The sequence below is a fragment of the Homo sapiens genome, chromosome 9, assembly GCF_000001405.40.
Source record: "Homo sapiens chromosome 9, GRCh38.p14 Primary Assembly".
In the NCBI taxonomy this organism is placed as follows: domain Eukaryota; kingdom Metazoa; phylum Chordata; class Mammalia; order Primates; family Hominidae; genus Homo; species Homo sapiens.
The window spans coordinates 21,328,490-21,350,887 of NC_000009.12; the positions used below are offsets into that span (position 1 = coordinate 21,328,490).

Consider the following 22,398-nt stretch of genomic DNA (forward strand, 5'->3'; position numbering starts at 1 on the left):
TAATCACAAAGCTATAGAGCTATAGTATCAAGAACAAGTAATACCACATCAGTACTATATAACAACCACCACCACCACCACACACACACACACCCCAAATTAAAAAAAACAAAAATATCACCGAAAGGTCAACATACAAAAAAGACGAACATACTTGATCATATTAAATTGAATAAAAAAGTAGAGTATAAAAAAGTATTTATAGCAAATAGGACAATTAAAGCAAAAGACAGGAGCAAATGATTTATGAAAAATACACATGCTCAATAAACAAGAAATTATAACTAGTAATTAAAGATATGTAAATCCAAACAGTGAAATAACTAGAACTGCAAAGATTTCCTTTGAAATAGTTACTGAACACAGTTCTGCTAAAAATGCATATGGTATAATCCTGGAAATATTTTTTAAGACCCTAAAAAAGCTAACACTACATGATTCCGATTTTACTTAGCATTTATCATAGGGTAGTAGCTATGGGCAAAGTTTTATGTAAGAATATTACATCTTGCTTTATTATGGTGAAAATTTATGGTAGACATTTAAATATCTACACATAAGGAAATGGAATAATTTGGCATGTTCATGGAATGAAATATTGTATAGACGCTGAACACTTTCAAAGAACAATAGCCTGAAAATCATTAAGCTGAAGCAAAAGTCAAAAATTATAAAATCCCAACTTTGTTAGTAACAACTATCATTCACTGCTTTTGTGCATATCTTATGCTAATCGCTTTATATTATTTCCTTACAAATCTGATATAAATAGAATTATTAATGATCACACCCAACCTGATAGATGTATGACAAAGCTGAAGTTTTAGAGAGTTAAACTTACCCCACAATCTTTCGGCAGTTGTTTATAATCGGTTGAGCTGGGGATGGCACATTTATGTAGTTTTAAAATGTCCTGTAGGAGCTTACTGCCTTTATAGTGAGAACAAAATAATTTTGATTACAAAAATCTGAACATGAGTGAAATGTGTTTGCTTTGCAGGCCAACTACATAAATATTACTGTAAGCAAGTGGGAAAGAAATTTAAGTCTGGATTTATCTGAATAAAAATGGAATCTGTTTTTCTAAATACATGTGCATTTGATAATTAGAAAAAAACACCTTATGATTTTTTAATATATACAGCTTTTTAAAAAATAAGAGAAAGTCATGATAATAGGAGTCTTTGGAAGGTGGATTTATTTTCATTATCCAGCTTTTAGCCTAAGGTCTGGCATACTTGAAAAATATTTGACAAATGCCTGCACATATGTACGTATATATATATATATAATATACTATTAATAGAAATTATCTTCAACATGTGGAATCACTGATAAATTAGTTTGCTTTTATTTTCCTGTACGTTCTATAATAGACATATCAAAAAAGCTAACAAATGTTAATTTTTGAATACTTTCCGAAAAACTAAAACAAGAAATGTTAACATAATGCTTTATGTGCTTTTAGTTTTTATCCTCTAAATATTTTTCCAGTCTGAACTTTCTTTAAAAAATTACCAGCTTATGAAAATAAATCTCTTTCCATTTAATCATTTCAACCACCTAAAATTTCTCTCTATAAGAAACTCCAGGTTTAATGAGCAGTACAGATTGAATATCCCTTATCTGAAATGCTTGGGACCAGAAGTGTTTTGGATTTTGGAATATTTGCATGTACATGACGTATCCTGGGGGAGGGACCCAAGTCTAAACAATATTACTTAAAACTTCGGTTATATTTCACGTTTCAGACACGTAGTCTGAAGGTAATTATAATAGTCTTAATAATGTTGTGCATGAAACAAGTCTTCACTGTGTTTTGAGTGTAACCTGTCACATGAGCTCTGGTGTGGAATTTTCTACTTGTGGCATCCTGTTGGCCCTCAAAAAGTTTTAAATTTTGGAGCAATTTGGATTTTTGGATTAGGGCTGCTCAACCTGTATTAGCATAGCATTAGTCAGCTACCTGTATGATTACCAAGAGAACTGTCAACTGCAGAATACGGGAAAGTAAAAAAATGAGAGGCAGGGTGGGTGAAGCTGGAGGTGGGGGATGTAGATAGAGCAGTTTACCTAGTAAAGCAATACTTATTTCAATAGGAAGCACCAGGTTCAGACATAAGATGTAATAAAAAGTACTTTTTTTCAATAAAAGGAAAAGCCTGTACAAAATAGAGGCAGGGCAGTATCACCTTGATATGTCAGAATAAGCACTGAAATACTACATAAAAAATAAACCATATCAAAATTATCCCCTAACCCCATCTCTACTAAAAATACAAAATTAGCCGGGCTTGGTGGTACATGCCTGTAATCCCAGCTAATCGGGAGGCTGAGGTGGGAGAATCGCCTGAACATGAGAGGCAGAGGTTTCAGTGAGCACACATCGTGCCATTGCACTCCAGACTGCACAACAGTGAGACCCTGTCTCAAAAAAAAAAAAAGACAAATTTGATCTCAAAAATTAACTGAACAGCGTTGCCTTTGTAAAACTACAACAGATTGAGGGAAGAAATAAATGCAAGCAAATGCAAGTTAAATTACATTTATTATATAAAGAGATCCTATAACTTGATACGAAAAACAAAGCAACTCCAACAGATAACAGAAGGGCAAAAGGACAGGAACATCTGATCAAAGAAACACAGCTACCGATAGCACACAAATATTCAACCTCATTAATAATCAAAGGATTAGGATGCACTTCTTGCTTATTCAATAAAGTTAATAATTTCTAATTTTTCTACTTTTCAAATGTACTCAAATGTGCTATTTTTAGTAATAAAAAACTGAGTAATTAAAAAAACATAGAAAGTATGAAAATTTCTGCCAATGCAGAAATCATAAACAGCATTAAAATGAATCAACACTTGTATGGGCAGTAAGGTTCAGACCCCTAGAAGCCAATTCATTTTGCCTTGGTTCCTGAGTTTTATTATGGGATTGTCAATAAGGAGAAAGTTGTTCCTGATTTACATGCTGACAATCTTCCAGGTATAGGGGGTTGTGTGTGTGTATTACACACACACACAATGTATATATAAATTTTTTTTCTTCAGGTAGACAATTATTCCAGGAAAGTACCTCTTCAGAATCACTCATTACAGAGAATTCCTGTAACTCCATTTGCTGATAAAAGTCCCATTAAAAATTACCATGTGGTTCTCAACCAATAGGGATACCTTTGGCATTGAAGAGGCTGAGGGTTGATTTTAGTACTGCTTGTAAGACCATAGTGTTCCAGAGGCTCTGTAGCTGGCTTCTTTGGGAATCTGAAGTTGGTCCTGTCTTTGAGACATGGCCAAAAGCACATTTTTCCTCACTTGATGCAGAAGAAAATGTTATCTCCTGCTTGCTCAGATCATAGCCTCGAGGCAGATCACACAGCTCAGGATGCACATGGACTGGAACAGCACCAGGGCAAGCACCCCAAATCACAAAATAATCATGTTAGGATGACTAAGTTGGGAGGCTGAACTTAAAACCCTATAGCTTTGTTCAGAATATTTTTTTCTTTGCTTTTTTCATTAAGTTTTACTGACCAAAAAGGTGGAAAAAAGAACCTAAATTTTCTGCACAAAAGCAGTTCTCTGAAACCTGAACTTTACCAATCTGTGTAAAAGTACTCTACAGAAAATACACAAGCAGAAAACAGTAATGTAAGCTTCATCTGAAGTAACGGTTTAGTCACATGACAAATTTGGTTGTCGATTTAGTATGCTGTAGCCCTTATCTATCTAAATTCAGTATGACTACATAGACATTTATTCTCTGGTACTGAATTTCCATTTGAATAGAAACGGCTGCTTTGTGGAAGAAAGAAACTTCAATTTAAAAACAATTTCAGCATCGTTGAAGTGCCAATCAGTTTTCAAATTATGTGTGTGTATACATATGTATGTATGTGTGCATGCATGTATGTTTGTATTATGTGTATTTTTTCCTCCTCTCTCCCTCTCTTGCTCGCTCTAGAGAGAGATACCAAATACTGGCTTGGTGCTATACTGTTTTTTCCTAGTTAATATTTTTATTATTTCTGTCTACGTAAGAAACTTCAAATATTCTGAATGCAACCACACAATCGAGTAAGTTGACAGACATGACAAAAACTACGAAAAGAGGGAGGTAACTAGTATTAATACTTGGCAACCTTTCGTTATTTTTAGTTTAGAGCGGCCTCCCTCTGACATTTTGGAGTCAAAGATGAAAACTCAACTTTGAAGCATAATGGACATAATTACACATTTACCACAGTCATCTACAATTTTATATAACATCACAAAAAGACATCTAAACATTTTTCTACGTCTTTTTTTCATTTGTTAAAACAGCTATGTTAAATACATTTTCAGAATGCATTTGTTAGCCACTTGATAAACATACTAAAAGCCATACAAGACGAATAACATCAGTTACCTTTATATCTAATAACTGTACCAATCACTGTAAGAAGATACAACTGAAGGGGAAGTATTAGATCACCCATGACGTACTGCAAAGGTGTTACACCTTAGACCTAAGAATGATCTGAAGGTGCTGAAAGAGGTGATTCTCTAGAAGGTGACCCAGGGTTTTCTTCAGGTGGAAAAACTGTGAGTGTACAGGCTCGAATGCCACCAAGTGACTCTGGAAGATCAAAAACTTTATGCCACTCATCTTTTTCTGGGTCATATTTCTGGACAATTTCTACCATACAACGATTATTCCAAGAATATCCACCAACAACATAGATTTTATTTTCAAAGACGGCAACTCCAACATCACTTTGGCCTCTTAACATGGCGGCAATTGGGGTCCACTGGTCAAGGGTTGGTGAATAGTATTCACAGCTTAGAACATCATCATAATCACTTGTTCCTCTGAAGTGATTGCCACCAATGACATAGAGCTTATCTCCAACTGTACACATGCAATGCAGACCTCTGACTGTAGTCATTGGAGCCTTTTGCATCCATTTATCTGTATCTGGGTCAAAACACATGAGCTCATTTTGGAAAGTGTCATGGGTAATTCCTCCTGAAATATACATTAAGCCTCCATATACTGTTCCAGCATGACCATAGTGGGGTTCACTCATTTTTGCAACATAGCTCCACTCATTCATTCTTGGGTTGTAACATTCTACTGTGGCCAGTTCACCAGCTGCACTGCGCCCACCAACTGCATACAAATGTCCTTTGAGGGCACTCAAGTGAAAGAATGTGCGCTTTTCATTTAATGATGCAACCTGCATCCATTTATTATACCGAGGATCAAATCTGAAAACTGTATCAACAGCAGTTTTTCCTTTTGTATCATAATTACTCTGACCACCAACTACATAAAGAAAGTTTCCAATGACAGCAATACCATGCTGGTAACGGGGAGCATCCATTGGGGCTAAAGATCTCCATTCTTGTGCCCTTTCATCATACATCCGTAATTCTTTACTGACAACCAGCTGCTGCCTCAAAACTCCTCCTAATGTAACCAAGTGAGTGGAGTCAGATCGAATGGCAGTTCTATCTGACTGCATCACTGGCTGCATATATGGCATCATTTGGTAATTGCTAGCTTCCAAAAGCAAATTCACGCAGGTATTGTCTGTTCTCATGAAATCTACTGTCTGCACGTAATTGATGAGATCCTGTGGTGTCATCAGTGGAAATCGAATATTCTTCATTAACTTTGCAGCATAATCCATCCGAGGGTCTTCCAACCTTAGCCAGCGACAGGCTGCCTTAAAGAGTTCAAGTTCGGTACAGTGCTTAAGACTATTACTGGAAAGCACAAATGCAAGTCGTTCAAAAGGGAGTTTTAGAAACTCCCCAGTACTCAATAAAGCAGGAAAGTTCTTCAGGATGAAATTATTAACATATTTATCCACTTCTATAAGATTGTAGGTGTTAGCAATTCGTCCAACCTCAACACAGTTATCCAAAGAGACTCCTGATATAAGAAATACTTTACAGAAATCCAAAACGGGTAATATTTGTAAAAAGCTAGCAGCTTCAAGTGTGTCCTGAAGATTGTCCATATTAAGAGAAAGTTTTGCAGTATAAATAAAATCAATGATTTTCTTCAGACCAACCTTGTTCACCCCATGAAGCTTAATGCACATCAAATCTTGTTCTTTCATTCCACCTGTGAACATGGCTTTGAAATAATCACTAGCAGACGCCATCATAGCTCTGTGAACAGGGAAGATTTCATCTCCATCACCTGGTACCAGGGTCACATCACAAAGCAATCCTTCTATTCTAAGCTGATCAAAGCCTTGCAATACCACCGAACTGTGAGTATTGCTGGTAAAAAAGCGTGTGGTTCCTGCCTTACAAGGCTGCAAATGGGCAGAGACGCCCATTTCGCCGTTACCAAGGGACACTTTCATGTGAAAGCTTTCCTCTTGCACAGAGATGCAAGCCGGATAAAGAAGTTATAACCGGAATGTTTTACAGGTAACGAGGTGTCCAGAAAGAACAGAAAGCTCGTTTCCTTATCAAGGGAAGGCAGTCACTGCGGCACCCCTCGGGCCACGCCAGTCAGTCATCCACTGAAAATCACCCTGTAGCAGGACCACAAAGGGCTGTGGACCTCAAATCTGATTATTAGACAGATGATTCATCACCTGAAGGCGGTTAAATGACCTGGTTCACCTCGTCCGGCCTGCGCTGCCGCTCCTTCAGCAGTTCCGCTTCGGGCAAGGAAGAGGCGCCGCCACGTACTGTGGCTCCACGGCCCGCTCGGCGGCGGGTCCGGACACCTCAGCGAACGGCCCGCTGCGCCCTCCGCTGTACCTAGAGTGTCGCAGCGGCCACCGGCCTGTCTTTGAGCAAGGGCCGGGAACACAGGCCTGGGCCTGGGCTTGGGCCTAGAATACCGGCCTAGCCCCAACACCGAGCCGCTCCTTCCGGAAAAGCCTAGTCCCAGGATACCACGGGGTGGGAGCGGCCTTAGCGGCTACTGCGGCTGCGCGGCCTCCAGACCTCGTCAGTCAGCGGGAGGGTGGGGGTGGGGAAGGGGGAGGAAGTACCCGGGAGGCGGGAGGGCGAGGGTTGGGGAAGCGGAGCTGTGTGGGGTGGGCGCCAGCCCGGCCTCTTAGAGCTGCCTTGTATGTGGGACCAAATAGGACAGAATGTGTGCAAGCAAGTGTGTTATGCTGCACGTTTGATATAAGTTTTTCGCATATCTGAGCTCTTACGTTCCCCAAATGCATAATTTTTCAAAGCTTTACGCTTCCTAGCTTCTGTTTTTTTGAATAACAGTGAAATGCGGCATTTGTATAAATTGAGAGGAAACCTGGATGCTTAATTTTTTTTTTCCTCTACAAAACAATAATTGTTATCCCACATTATGTAGTAGATACTTCAGTTACAATTTTGGTTCATATTTTCAAATTTGTTACAATTTCAAACGCAAAATATTTGTCTTTACTAGATTGTTACTTTATTATGTAAATGATATATTCTAAATTTTTGGCTTGAAATGCCTTTGTTTTCCACAATTTTAAAAATGGCTACATAATTTTCCAATAACTATACATACTATAGTTTCCTTTGCCCATTGGTTTGTTCCTGAATGTGTACCTTCTTATCCTCCATTGTTTTATAGACTCGGTAGTAAACTTATACAATCTGGTAGCAAAATTTTAGCCCTGTTATGGATAATATTTAGTAAAATACTGATCCAAGACAATATTTCCAAAATATTATCACCAACAATGTTTGTGTCTTTCCCTTCTTCTGACTTTTCCCTTTGTGAGTATTTTATTAACTTGCATTTCTTTAATTAGTGGTAAATTTAAATTTTGACATACAAATAAATGTATACTTTGACACAATTTCTTCCATTTTCCAAATTTTGAAGTTTCTGTCTTTTAAATCCTTCTAGTTCTTTATGCATATGCAAAGTAAGAATGTAGTCATGTTTTTCTTACACTCGCCTCGTTTTTATGTAAAAGATAGCATACCATGTACACTGTTCTGCATCTTTTTTTTTCACTTCAAGATCTTCCTGAATTAGTGTAGAGGGCTTATTTATATTTTTAAACAATTCTGTTGTTGCCTTCTGAGTTGTTACATCATAAGTTATTTAACCAGTGCCCTGTTGATGGGCAGTTCATCTGTTTTGAATGTTTTCTATTGTTTCCAAGGGATGGCAGCAAAATTCAGAAGGCTTAGACTACCACTGTCCTCCACAAGGTGCTCCAGCAGATTGTCACCTTATTCAACACAAGAGGTTGGTTGGAATGAAACTGGCCTGGAGAAATTATTCACTGAATTTTTATCAGCATTGGGAAGTCCTGGAGCCCTGCTTGTTGAATGAGTTAGGGGTGGAAGGGCTCTCTCAGGCCATGACAACTCCCTAATGCTGTGAAGAGCTACTTCCAAGGAATCAGTCTCTATCTGGAAAAGAAAGAAGAGAGCCTCTGTACATGGGAAGTTGGAGCAAGAAATCATGAGATCCTTCTTTTTTTCATCAAACTTGCAAGTAAGATTAATAGCTTAGGAACAGACTTGTGTCTTCATGAAATGATTACTATAGACACTCTTCATTATATTCCCATATGTTTAGTTATTTTAAAAGACTATCTTTTCTGCCTGCATAATGAAATGATTGAATCAAATTTGTCACAATACTTGTTGGTAATGTCAAGCAACTGTATGATAAAGCATCCAGTTCTTAGGGGCATTAGCTCACCATGGATGATATTATTAATTTACCCATGTACTTAATTATTGATTCTACTACATTTATTGTATTCAGTATTTTTGCTTGTATGAAATGTTCACTTTTAACACTGTGCTAATTACATTAAAAAGTGTTCACTTTATGTATATTTTGTTTGTTTGTTTTGTTTTGTTTTGTTTTGACGGAGTCTCGCTCTGTCACCCAGGCTGGAGTACAGTGGTGCGATCTCGGCTCACTGCAACCTCCGCCTCCCAGGGTCAAGCAATTCTCCTGCCTTAGCGTCCCGAGTAGCTGGGACTACAGGTGCGCGCCACCATGCCCAGCTAATTTTTTGTATTTTTAGTAGAGATAGAGTTTCACCATGCTGGCCAGTCTGCTCTCAAACTCCTGACCTTGTGATCCGCCTGCCTCAGCCTCCCAAAGTGCTGGGATTACAGGCGTGAGCCACCATGCCTGGCCCCTCACTTTATATTTTGAAAATTATTCTCTTTATTATTTCGAGTTTTACTTTCAGATCATTTTGCATTTGTTTATTTAAAAAAAACAAACACAAGGTCTTGCTCTGTCACTAAGCTGGAGTGCAGTGGCAGGTTCATAGCTCACTACAGCCTCAAACTCCTAGCCTCAACAATCCTCCCACCTCAGCCTCCCACACTGCTGGGATTACTGGCATGAGCCACCATACCTGGCCTTACTCAATAAATCAATGCCAAGGTTGGTTTTGCAACCTCAAGTGAAGTTCAGTTCATTCATTCCATTCACACTGTATGAAACACTTGATATGTGACTTTTCAGGATAGAAAAGTGAATAAAGGAAACACAGCTTCAGCCCTCTTGAAACTTTTTGCTGAGGGAGAAATAAAACTATTAACCAATTAATTAATTTCAACTCTATCATAAACTCAAACCATAGGCAAAAGAAAAGTGGTTTTTGTCATCAGAAACTGGAAGACTTTAAGCCTTGAAAATTGGATACACAGTTCTGGGATTTAGAGTGCATGGCTAGAGATGTTCATTTGGGAGCTGGGCTATACCTTTTTCCTGAAGGCCCAAGGATGGATGAGGTCTGGTAGAAATTGAGTAGTGAATCAGAAGACCAAAACCTGGATCTTGAGGACCTTTACATCTTAATGTAGTGAACAGAGTGAGGAACCTGAAAAGGGCATGTGAATGAAATGATAGGAGGACATCCAGGAGCAAAATAGGAGGACAACCAGGAGAAAATTGTGATAAGAGGGTGTTTAAGGGAAGAAATGTGTTTAAAACATGACGTTTTACATTTAGGAAAAGAAAGGACTGGTTTGCCAGAATTAATTTGGCAAAATCCAGATTGGAATATATTGACTAGAGTAAATAGCAGGAGAGGTTGGAGACACAGTGGATGGAAACTTCTTTTAGAAGTTTATCTGTGAGTGGAAGAAGAGCAAGAAGGTAGTACCTGGAGAAAAATGTGTGTTTGTATTATCGGATATAATTTTGTAACCTTTTTACAAACTTTTATTTAGGATTGATTTCAGGGAATGGATATAATGGCACAAAGCATATAAAATTAATACTTTATTTCATAGGCTATATTGTCTTACTGCTTATTTAATAATCTAAAATTTCAAGAATAATTGTTTAATAGTTTTTGAGTACTAGTGGGCTATAATGCCTTTCCATTTGCTTCACTTGCTGTTCTTAATTCTATTTAGATTTCATTTTATGGCATTAATTGTAGTTTTTATTGTTCTTATGAATTATGCTTTTATACGCCCCTCTTAAAAGTATATATAAACCCTTTATGTAGATGTTAGCTATATTCCCTATGATGCAACTTTCTCGATTTTGTTTACATATAACTGTTATTTTCCTTTACATTTCTCCTATTGCCAGACAATTGAGAACATCTAAAACTTATGGAAAATGCGTTTGAAATCCTACTTCTTTCTTTCAAACAAATGGGCTCTCTTTATTAATGTGGATAAATAAAATCCAAATACTCTTCAGAGAGAGTGTAGATGACTGCTCAGAGAGCTCATTTATCACATTCTTCGTACACCAGGGATGCTAATTGTGCAAAAATACTGAAACCTAAGTAAGGCTGGACAAGGATGGCCATCGTAGTAAAGGCCATCTCTGACCAGATGGGGATGCTTCTAGGGAAGTGTATTTAGCTGCCATGCAGAGAATGTCTGCAAACCACCACGTTGTGAGTTTATTGATTCACTGGTTTCCTATTCTCTACTGCCTAGTCATGAAACCCACTCATACTTTGGTAACATTTTATAAATTTCTCTCTTAGCAGAGATGATATGAGGAGTGATCTGCGGATCAGTATTGATAAGAGATGTCTTGAAGACATCCATTTAGTGAATGGTGAGGGGCAGAGATAGGATTCATAGCTGGTTCTACCTGTATGTACAGTGTTCTTTTCTCTGTGTTTAATGTATCTAAGTTAGACTTTGTTGTTTGTCATGAATGCAGAATTGACAAGAGCACTCAATACTAAGAAGGCATTAAAAGAAAACATTGTTTTTGATTTCTTTCATCAGTGTTAAGAAAGAACAGGGAAAGAAAAAATCTATTATTATGTGCCATCTATAAAATAAATAATATGTTACATGTTTTAATCCACCAGTTACAGTGTAAATAGTAATACTATCAAGCTTACTTTATCAATGAAGAAAGCAGGACGCTGAGAGAAAAGGTGATCCACGTAGAGTGCACAAGTGATTGGCAGAGTTAGGATTTGAGTCTAGGTGTGCTGATGGAAAACTTCATGCACTCAGTGGATATCATGTTTCCCCAAGGTTGGGGGCTATCAGGATCGGGTAGGTTCTTCTTTCTTTCTCTTCTTCACAAGTTACCCTGTTGGAGACCCAAACTCACAGCGTCTGCCCTACTCACTGTGCTTCACTCATTTCCTCAATTATTGTCTTACCTGCCTGTGGCATCTGTCTGGGTCACAGACAGACCTCCTATCACCTGCATAAGTGCAGTGAAGAACTCAGGTACCCCAAGGATTCTGAGGGGTTGAGTAACACATAAATCTTCAGTAAAGAGACGGGCCTGAATAGGACTTCTTACAAGTTTAGCACCAACCATGTCCAGAGTGCCTAGCTGGCCTCACTGGAGAAAAGGATTACTCATGAAATCCTCTTGGTCTATTTTCTCCTGTCCTTTGTGAAATGGTGAAGAAAATAATAGACCCCAAACTGTTCTCAGCTCACATATTCTCCTTTTTAGCTGTGGCCTTTGGGCAAGTCTTTTTCCCTCAGAGATAGATGCCTGCTCACAGGGTCTGAGCCGTAAGTAGGAGGAAGTCAAAAGGTATGTGCAGAACAATCTACAAAGTGCTATGTGGTGGTTAGTGGTTATTTCTCTAAACACATCTAATTGTATTGATTCAGACTGTTGATCGAGCTTGCCATGCTATTTTAGACAGCACAATTTAGTGACTAAAGGGTATGACTCTAGAGCCAGAGTTCCTGGTTTGGATTCCAGCTCTGCTATTTAATAGCAATATGACCATGGCAAGTACCATGAACATTATGCTCCCTAGTTTCCTCGTCTGTAATATGGGAAGAATAATAGTATTGATCTCATAGGATTATTGTAACAATCAGATTAATAAATACGAAATGGCTGAAACTACCTAGCAAAAATAATCACTGCTGTTAGAAGCGAGAGTGTCTATCCCCAGGGCAGAGGCAGAAGAGTTGGTCTTACTTAGGTACTGACTGGCACAGAGCACTAGAGAGGCTTCTAAGTCCTGAGCAAACTGTTTCTGACATGCTGCTACTTTCACAATGTATTCAGTGTGTGAGGAACCATGTCACTGTGTGCGTAAGACGTGTATACTTTCATTCTGTGTGTTATGCTTTCAAAAATGAGTTGCTTTTTAAAAAACAATTGTGCTAGAAAAAATTCCTGGGATAGCTTAAGATTTCCAAAGACTAGTGGGATCCAAGCCAATACATATATATATATTTCATCTATCTAAATAGCTATTATTAACCTGATATCTAATCTATATTTACCTATCTATATCTATATTTATCTATATCTATCTATGTGTACATATCAGATCAAAGTTTTTCCAGGGGCTCGCCATTGCTTTCCATGTTGGCTCTACACAAGAGAGAAGCTTGTCCCCAGGTTCACCTGAGATGGGATGGGGAAGTGGCTGATGAAAAGGTATTGAAAGGCTGTCCTGTTCAAGTGTGCTGAACTCCCTTCATCAGCCAATTCATAACCCTGAATCACAATGTTTGGGATTTTACTCTGAAGACCTCTCTCACACTCAGATAAATTATTTGTGACCTTTGGTTAGAAGCCCTAGGCCCTGCTGTCTCCCCTGACCTGCCTTGCCTGTTCTCTAAGTCTAATGATGTTCTCATCTTTTCCCAGTACTCTCATTCCTGATGTATCTGTGTTCCAATAATTAATTCAGAATAATGGAAAATGATATTTGGGCCCTTTTCTTTACCTTGCCTAATTGATGTCTCTGCTTTCTACGAACAGTGGTAGTAAGTCAGATGTGGGTATATCAATCCTAATCCCAAGAACCACAACATTTTTATTCTTTCCCCAGCACCTCCTTACCCCTCAAGTTAGAGACCACATCTTTAATCTGACCCTCTGGCCTAATGTGCACACAGCCACCTATCTTCCAATTTAACCCTCCCTAACTCCCTCTAAATGTGCTGGCAGGAGTCAGCTCATCACAATTGAGAAATTTTGGCACATCATTACTGGAAGATGATTGCTTTTGTCCTTCAAACAGTCAATTGGCCAAGACAGCAGAGTGTTGCTGTGATTGAACTAGGTTGTCAGCAGTGATCTCCTCTTTTTTTGATCTGGTACTAACGTCAATATTTTCATAGCCTTCAGATGATAGGAGCAAAAATTTATGTTCAGTGTGTGAGCGTGGGCAGGGGTTGGGTAAATTATCCTTTGCAAAATTTTTATGTTGAATAGCAAAATTAATTTTATTTTTCCAAATGTGGATTATATCTACGTTGAATTCAATTCATTAAATTGCTGAATACTTTTTATGCTTTAAGTTTCTAAGCTGGCCACAGGGGATTTTATGATGATTTTGCTTCCATCAGATTACATTGTTCTCATTGGTTTCAAAGAACTTCTTGATTTCTGCCTTAATTTCTTTATTTACCCAGGAGTCTTTCAGGAGCAGGTTGCTCAATTTCCATGTAATTGTGTGGGTTTGAGTTAGTTTCTTAATCTTGAGTTCTAATTTGATTGCCCTGTGGTCTGAGAAACTGTTTGTTATGATTTCAGTTTTTTTGCATTTGCTGAGGAATGTTTTGCTTCCAATTATGCGGTCAATTTTAGAGGCAGTGCTACGTGGCACTGAGAAGAATGTATATTCTGTTGATTTGGGGTGGAGAGTTATGCAGACATCTGTCAGGCCCACCTGATCCGAACTGAGTTCAAGTCCTGAATATCTTTGTTAATTATCTCGATGATCTGTCTAATATTGACAGTGGGCTGTTAAAGTCTCCCACTATTATTGTGTGGAAGTCTAAGTCTCCGTGTAGGTCTCTAAAAACTAGTTTTATGAATGTGGGTGCTCCTGTATTGGGTGCATGTATATTTAGAATTCTTAGTTCTTCTTGTTGAGTTGATCCCTTTACCATTAGGTAATGCCCTTCGTTGCCTTGTTTTTTTTTTTTTTTACCTTTGTTGGTTTAAAGTCTGTTTTGTCAGAAATTAGCATTGCAACCCCTGCTTTCTTCTGCTTTCATTCTCTTGGTAAATTTTCCTCCATCCCTTTATTTTGAGCCTCTGTGTGTCTTTGCAGGTGAGATGGGTTTCTTGAACAGCACACTGATAGGTCTTGACTCTGTCCAATTTGCCAGTCTGTGTCTTTTAATTGGGGCGTCTAGCCCATTTACATTTAAGTTTAATATTTTTATGTGTGAATTTGATCCTATCATCATGATGCTAACTGGTTATTATGCAGATTAGTTGATGCAGTTTCTTTATAGTGTCCTTGGTCTTTGTACTTCAGTGTGTTTATGTAGTGGCTGGTACTGTTTTTTCCTTTCCATATTTAGTATTTCCTTCAGGAGCGCTTGCAAGACAGGCCTGGTGGTTATGAATTCCCTCAACATTTGCTTGTCTGAAAAAGATTTTACTTCTCCTTCACTTATGAAGCTTAGTTTGGCCGGATAAGAAATTCTGGGTTGGAAATTCTTTTCCTTAGGAGTGTTGAATATTGGCCCCCCTCTCTTCTGGCCTATAGGGTTTCTGCTGAGAGGTCCACTGTTAGTCGGATGGGCTTCCCTTTGTAGGTCACCTGGCCTTTCTCTGTGGCTGCCTTTAACATTTTTTCCTTCATTTCAACCTTGGAGAATCTGATGGTTATGTGTCTTTGAAACCAATGAGAATAAAGAGACAACATATCAGAATCTCTGGAATTCAGCTAAAGCAGTGTTTAGAGGGAAATTTATAGCACTAAATGTCCACATTAGAAAGCTGGAAAGATCTCAGATCGACATTCTAACATCACAACTAAAAGATATAGAAAAGCAAGAGCAAACAAATCCAAAAGCTAGCAGAAGACAAGAAATAACTAAAATCAAAGGAAATTGAAGGATATAGAGACACAACAAAACCTTCAAAAACCAATGACTCTAGGAGATGTTTTTTGAAAAAATTTAATAAAATTCACTGCTAGCTAGACTAATAAAGAAGAAAAGAGAGGATAATCAAATAGACACAATAAAAAAATGATAAAGGGCATACCACCACTGACCCCACGGAAATACAAACAACCATCAGAGAATATTATAAACACCTCTATGCAAATAAACTAAAAAATCTAGAAGAAATGGATAAATTTCTCAATACATACACCCTCCCAAGACTAAACCAGAAAGAAGTCGAATCCATGAACAGACCAATAACATGTTCTGAAATGGAGGCAGTAATAAATAGCCTATCAACCAAAAAGAAAGCCTATTACCAGATGGATTTACAACTAAATTCTACCAGAGGTACAAAGAGGAGCTGGTACCATTCCTTCTGAAACTATTCCAAAAAAATTGGACCTTCATGTTAAAAACTCTCAATAAACTGTGTATTCATGGAACATATCTCAAAATAATAAAAGCCATTTCTGACAAACCCAAAGCTAATATCATACTGAGTGGGCAAAAGCTGGAAGCATTCTCTTTGAAAACCAGCATAAGAAAAGGGTGCCCTCTCTCACCACTCCAAATTCCAAAAAAAAAAAATTGGGATGGTTTCAGAAGGAATGGTACTTTGGAATAGTTTCAGAAGGAATGGTACCAGCTCCCTAACTCGTTTTATGAGGCCAGCATTATCTCGATACCAAAACCTGGCAGAGACACAACACAAAAAGAAAACTTCAGACCAGTATCCCTGATGAACATTGATGAGAATATCCTCAATAAAATACTGCAAACCAAATCCAGCAGCACATCAAAAAGCTTATCCACCATGATCAAGTCAGCTTCATCCTTGGGATGCAGTGCTGGTTCAACATATGCAAATCAATAAATGTAATCCATCATGTAAACAGAACTGACGACAGAAACCACATGATTATCTCAATAGATGCAGGAAAGGCCTTTTATAAAATTCAACATCCCTTCATGTTAAAAACTCTCAATGAACTATGTATTGATGGAACATATCTCAAAATAATAAGAGCCATTTCTGACAAACCCAAAGCTAATATCATACTGAATGGGCAAAAGCTGGAAGCATTCCCTTTGAAAACCAGCATAAGACAAGGATGCCCTCTCTCATCACTCCTATTCAGCATAGTATTGAAAGTTCTGGCCAGGGCAAGCAGGCAAGATAAATAAATGGTATTCAAACAGGAAGAGAGGAAGTGAAATTGACTGTTTGCAGACCACATAATCCTATATTGTCTCAGCGGAAAAGCTCCTTAAGCTGATAAGCAACTTCAGCAAAGTCTTAGGATACAAAAATCGATGTGCAAAAATTACAAGCATTCATATATACCAAAAGTAGACAAGCAGAGAGCAAATCATGAATGAACTCCCATTCACAATTACTACAAAGAGAATAAAATACCTAGGAATACAGCTAACAAGGGATGTGGAGGACATCTTCAAGGAGAACTACAAACCACTGGTCAAGGAAATAAGAGGGGACACAAACAAATGGAAAAACTTTCCATGCTCATGGTAGGAAGAATCAATATCATGAAAATGGCAATACTACTCAAAGTAATTTACAGATTCAATTCTGTTCCCATTGAACTACCATTGACATTCTTCACAGAATTAGAAAAAACCTAGTTTAAAATTTATATGGAACCAAAAAGAGCCCATGCAGCCAAGACAATCCTATGCAAAAAGGAAAAAGCTAGAGGCATCATGCTACCTGACATCAAACTATACTGCAAGGCTACAGTAACCAAAACAGCATGGCACTTGTACCAAAAATGACACATAGACCAATGAAACAGAATAGAGATCTCAGAAATAAGGCCAGACATCTACAACCATTTGATCTTCAACAAACCTTACAAAAACAAACAATGGGGAAAGGATTTCCTCTTCAATAAATGAGAAAACTGGCTAGCCATATGAGAAAACTGAAAACTGGACCCCTTCCTTACACATTATCCAAAAATTAACTCAAGATGGATTAAAGACTTAAATGTAAAACCCAAAACTATAAAAACCCTAGATGCTGGGGAGGATGTGGAGAAATAGGAATGGTTTTATGCTGTTGGTGGGAGTATAAGTTAGTTCAACTACTGTGGAAGACAGTATAGTGATTCCTCAAAGTTCTAAAATCAGAAATACCATTTGATCCAGCAATCACATTACTGGGTATATACCCAAAGGATTATAAATCATTCTACTATAAAGACACATGCACACATATGTTTATTGCAGCACTATTTACAATAGTGAAAACTTGGAACCAACTCAAATGCCCATCAATGATAAACTGCATAAAGAAAATGAGGCAGATACATGCCATGGAATACTACACGTCCATAAAGAAGAATGAGTTCATGTCCTTTGTAGGGACATGGATGAAGCTGGAAAGCATTCTCAGCAAACTAACACAGGAACAGAAAACCAAACACTGCATGTTCTCACTCATAAGTGGGAGTTGAACAATGAGAACACATGGACACAGGGAGGGGAACATCACACACTGGGGCCTGTCGAGGGGGTAGGGGGTTAGAGAAGGGATAGCATTAGAAGAAATACCTATTGTAGATGATGGGTTGATAGGTGCAGGAAATCACCATGGCATATGTACATCTTGTAACAAACCTGCATGTTCTGCACATGTATCCTAGAACTTAAAGTAAAATAATTAAAAAAAAAAAAAACCCAAGAAGAAAATCTAGGCAATGCCATTCAGTACATAGGTATGGGAAAAAATTTCATGACGAAAACATCAAAAGCAGTTGCAACCAAAGCAAAAATTGACAAATGGAACCTAATTAAACTAAAGAGCATTTGCACAGCAAAAGAAACTATCATCCAAGTGAACAGACAACCTATGTAGTGGGAGAAATTTTTTGCAATCTATCAATCTGACAAAGGTCTAATATCCAGAATCCACAAGGGACTTACATCAATTTCAAAAGAAAAAAAAAAGCCAAACAACCCTGTCACAAAGTGGGCAAAGGTTATGAACAGACACATCTCCAAGAAGTCATTTATATGGCCAAAAAACATGAAAAAAAAAGCTCAACACCACTGATCATTATACAAATTAAAACCATAATGAGATACCATCTCACCCCAGTCAGAATGGCGATTATTAAAAATCTCAAGAAATAACAGATGCTGGCGAAGCTGTGGAGAAATAGGAATGCTTTTACACTGTTGGTGGGAATGTAAATTAGTTCAATCATTGTGGAAAACAGTGTGGTGATTCCTCAAGGATCTAGAACCAGAAATACCATTTGACCCAGCAATCTCATTACTAGATATATACCGAAGGGAATATATGTTATTCTGTTATAAAGATACATGCATGTGTTTGTTTATTGCAGCACTATTCACAATAGCAAATACATAGAATCAACTCAAATGCCCATTGATTATAGATTGGATAAAGAAACATGGTACATATACCCTATGGAATGCTATGTAGCCATGAAAAGGAATGAGATCATGTCCTTTGCAGGGACAATGGATGGAGCTGGAAGCCATTATCCTCAGCAAATTAACAGGAACAGAAAATTAAACATCACATTTTCTCACTCATATATGGGAGCTGAACAATGAGAACACATGGACACAGGAAGGGAAACAACATTGGAAGGCATGGGGAGGGAGAGCATCAGGATAAATAGCTAATGCATGTGATGCTTAATACCTAGTGATGGGTTGATAGGTCCAGCAAACCATCATGGCACACATTTACCTATGTGACAAACCTGCATGTTCTGCACATGTATCCCAGAACCTAAAATAAAATAAAATTAAATATAGAAAAGAAAAATAAGATTACATTGTAGTAACTACTAAATGTCCCTAGATCAGTCAGTCAGTGCATTTCTACTGAACTTCATGGTTTGTTATTATCTGTCTCAAGGTGAAAATTTAAGGCAGTGAGGTCCAGCAATGCTGCTAGATGAAATTAGTCTGCTCTTCTTTACTGGTTTCAGTGTCTAAACAATTCATATATTCTTTTTTTTATTTTCATATTTTTCTGGTCAAGTGCTGTATGGCTGCTTCTGAATTACTTTCTATTTTATCTTAAGGTAAATACCAACATAGGGAAGTACAAATGGAAACATAAAGAGCTCATATCATTATTTTCTATCATTTTCAATACATCCTTTTATTCTTTCTCCAAATTAATGTTTTTATAAATTGTCATTGCATTTGGATATGTTGAAGAGAAAGGAAGACAAATGCAAATCTGAATATGATAAACATGAAAGAAGGAAAGTGACTCCCCAGGCCAAAAAATGGTAATAGGAATTTTTCTTTTTTTTTTTTTTTTAACCTTTCCACCTACTCCAATATAGTTTCTGCTTGTAAATTCTACCAAGTCACCTTCACTAAGGTCACCAATTCCATCTGTTTTTCTACTGTAGTAGATGATTTCAATCCATAGAGCAGTTTACTGACAGTCAAGATAGTATTAACCAAAATAATGATGTTATCATTATAAATAATTTGATATGTCATAATTTAAAATAAATATTAATTATACTAGTATGATTTTTCAATAATCAAATCCATGAAATCTATCTATAGACATACATATTTCCAAAAATGGAAAGCTATGCATATAAAAATTAATTCATGTCCTTTTCCAGGTCCTACTTTACTTCTCTCCTTCATTTCATGATGAGGCAGGATAGGTAGTCAAGGAAGTAACCATATCATCAGGATGTCACAACCTTGGTGACCATACCATCACCACAATAAGCTTTAGCATTAACATTGTAATTGAACTCATTCAAGCAAAGCTGTAGTTCCCCTGTAGAGAGAATGCACATTTTGATTTTACCTGTCCTCAGAGTGACCCTTTGCTCATTATAATAGTAAAGAATAAACCCGTGGGTAGAAGATTTAAGATGCTAATGAGACATACGGTGTTACAACAAGCATATGCAGTTACTGCACATGTGCACCCAGAGGACAACCAAGAACATGCTTACTAGTAACGCCTCTTCCCACCTCCTTATGGATAATCATGGAAGATTCCCATAAAAGGAGTCTCCCTAGTACTAGTCTTTACTTTCTCATCCTTACTAGCAGCCTGCCCTGAATCCTGTCTGTCTCAGGGTGTACTGTCTATTCTGCACCTGGATTTCAAAATATTCGTTTTCTTTTTTTTGGCAATAAATTACTCCATGCTGCATCTCCACCGCCGTGTGTCTCTTGTTTAAATTCTTAAAACTAGCAAGACAAGAATCTAGGTCTCACATCAGCCATCAGCAAGAAGGCAAACTTCTCAAAATTGTTTTCTCTATATATTGCCATTACCTTCTCTTCTCTTATTTACTCTTCTACCTACTCCTGTATGGTTTCTACTGATTAAGTCTATCAGTCAACTGGTTGATTCTACCAATCAACTTCCACTAAGATCACCAATGCCCAAATTACCAGGCAGTTTCAATCTACTCTATATTTTGCATGAATGCATCAATTCTTCTAAGCAGTTTTAGTCCTTTAAATTTATTATTATCACCATTCTCTCTTTTCCTTCTAATATTTGGCCATTCCAAATCTGTTTCCATTGTAGCTCTTTCCTCCCTTTAAAGTTGAAAGTTGCAGGAGGAAATTTTCAGTCATTTTGTCATTCTGTAAACACTTCTCACATGACCACTGCTGTTCCTGGAGTTTCAGGTCACGGCATTGCTTGAAAATTGCAGACTGAAATATCAAATTGCCAGTGCACATTTGCACTTATGTGTCTACCAGTCAACTGTAGAAGATATCTGCTGCTTTTGTTTTTGTTTCCTGATATGCCTTACTCCAGCTCTGCTGAAAAAAAATACTGTTTTTTGGTCTTCTTCTTATATCATTTATCTAACAGATTTAATGATTATTCTTGTTTTTAGGTTTTTTTCCCTACACAAAGAAAGATAAAAGACAGCATGAAGTGTATTTGTATCTTCATCTCTATAACCTGAAGTCAACTTACAAGCTGGCTTATAGAATGTAAATTTGTACTGTACTTATAACTTGAGTATAATAACAATGAATCAATGAATTGAACCATACATTTTTAAATCATGTTGGAGAATCGGCTTGGTGTTTCTCCTTAGAGAATAAACAAATCCAAGAAGTTTTCTATAGTAAATATTTAATAAACTAAACAAAATAATACATCGACTAAACATAGAAAATATATTTTGTTATGTTATCAACAATATAAAGGTATACATTTTATGCTTTTATATGGGCAAAAAATTAAATATTATAGTCAAATAAATATACATTTAATAAATAGATAAATAGATCCATCAGCTTAGTCATCTGTAAGGGACTAGTTCCTGTGCAACTGAACACGATGTTGCTTAACACACTTGAAAATACTTGACGCGTTTGATTCAACTCATGGTATGGTTATAGCAGAAACAAGAGTCTTTAAAATGGCAGATCATGAAAGTGCAAGCTGGTGTAGTCGTCAATGGGAGTCGTTTCTGTGTTGGATCAGGTCTTATTCCTTCCTCCTTAACCTTTCTTGCAAGTTTCTTGATGAAGAGAAGGATCTCATGATTTCTGCTCTGACAACCTCCCAGGCACAAGGGCTGTACTTTTTCTCTGTCAGGTAGAGAGTGATTCTTTGGAAGTATTTTCTCACAGCCAGGATGGAGTCCTCATTCATCAGGGGAGTCCCTCCCACCCACACCTCCTGCATCACACAGGCTTCCAGGTCATTCAGCTGCTGGTAAAGTTCAGTATAGAGTTTGTCTAGAAGCCTCTCATCCCAAGCAACAGATGAGTCCTTTGTGCTGAAGAGGTTGAAGGTCTGCTGAATCACCTCATGGAGGACAGAGATGGCTTCAGCCTTCTGGAACTGGTTGCCATCAAACTCCTCCTGGGGAAATCTGAAGTCATGTCTGTCCTTCAGACAGGAGAAAAGAGAGATTCTCCTCATTTGTGCCAGGAGCATCATGGTCCTCCTGTGACCCAGGCTGTGGGTCTGAGGCAGATCACAGTCCAGAGAGCAGCTTGACTTGCAGCTGAGCACCACCAGGGCCATCAGTAAAGCAAAAGGCAAAGCCAT

At 37.7% G+C, this 22,398-nt stretch overlaps 2 protein-coding genes and 1 long non-coding RNA gene across 3 annotated transcripts in view, besides 3 other annotated features; 1 reads left to right on the forward strand and 2 right to left on the reverse strand.

Annotated features, from left to right (window-relative positions):
- Positions 1-8,812, forward strand: part of LOC107987053 (uncharacterized) — a 69,713-nt gene extending 60,901 nt beyond the window's left edge. The window contains exon 3 of the long non-coding RNA XR_001746634.2: positions 8,132-8,812. This is a non-coding gene — a long non-coding RNA (uncharacterized LOC107987053). The remainder of the gene's footprint in view (positions 1-8,131) is intronic.
- KLHL9 (kelch like family member 9) lies at positions 1,176-6,915 on the reverse strand. Its single transcript, NM_018847.4, has one exon. It carries the CDS (start codon positions 6,368-6,370, stop codon positions 4,517-4,519), a length of 1,854 nt encoding a protein of 617 aa, NP_061335.1. The 5' UTR covers positions 6,371-6,915; the 3' UTR covers positions 1,176-4,516.
- Positions 6,345-6,394: an enhancer, noted in NCBI's record as "active region_28237". NCBI's record gives its function as "activates an Ori minimal core promoter by ATAC-STARR-seq in GM12878 lymphoblastoid cells {active_cell/tissue: GM12878}" and the evidence as "EXISTENCE:reporter gene assay evidence [ECO:0000049][PMID:35858748]".
- Positions 6,585-6,894: an enhancer, noted in NCBI's record as "active region_28238". NCBI's record gives its function as "activates an Ori minimal core promoter by ATAC-STARR-seq in GM12878 lymphoblastoid cells {active_cell/tissue: GM12878}" and the evidence as "EXISTENCE:reporter gene assay evidence [ECO:0000049][PMID:35858748]".
- Positions 6,935-7,104: a silencer, noted in NCBI's record as "silent region_19806". NCBI's record gives its function as "represses an Ori minimal core promoter by ATAC-STARR-seq in GM12878 lymphoblastoid cells {active_cell/tissue: GM12878}" and the evidence as "EXISTENCE:reporter gene assay evidence [ECO:0000049][PMID:35858748]".
- Positions 21,829-22,398, reverse strand: IFNA6 (interferon alpha 6). The gene has a single exon (NM_021002.2). The coding sequence runs from the start codon at positions 22,396-22,398 to the stop codon at positions 21,829-21,831; it is 570 nt and encodes a 189-aa protein (NP_066282.1).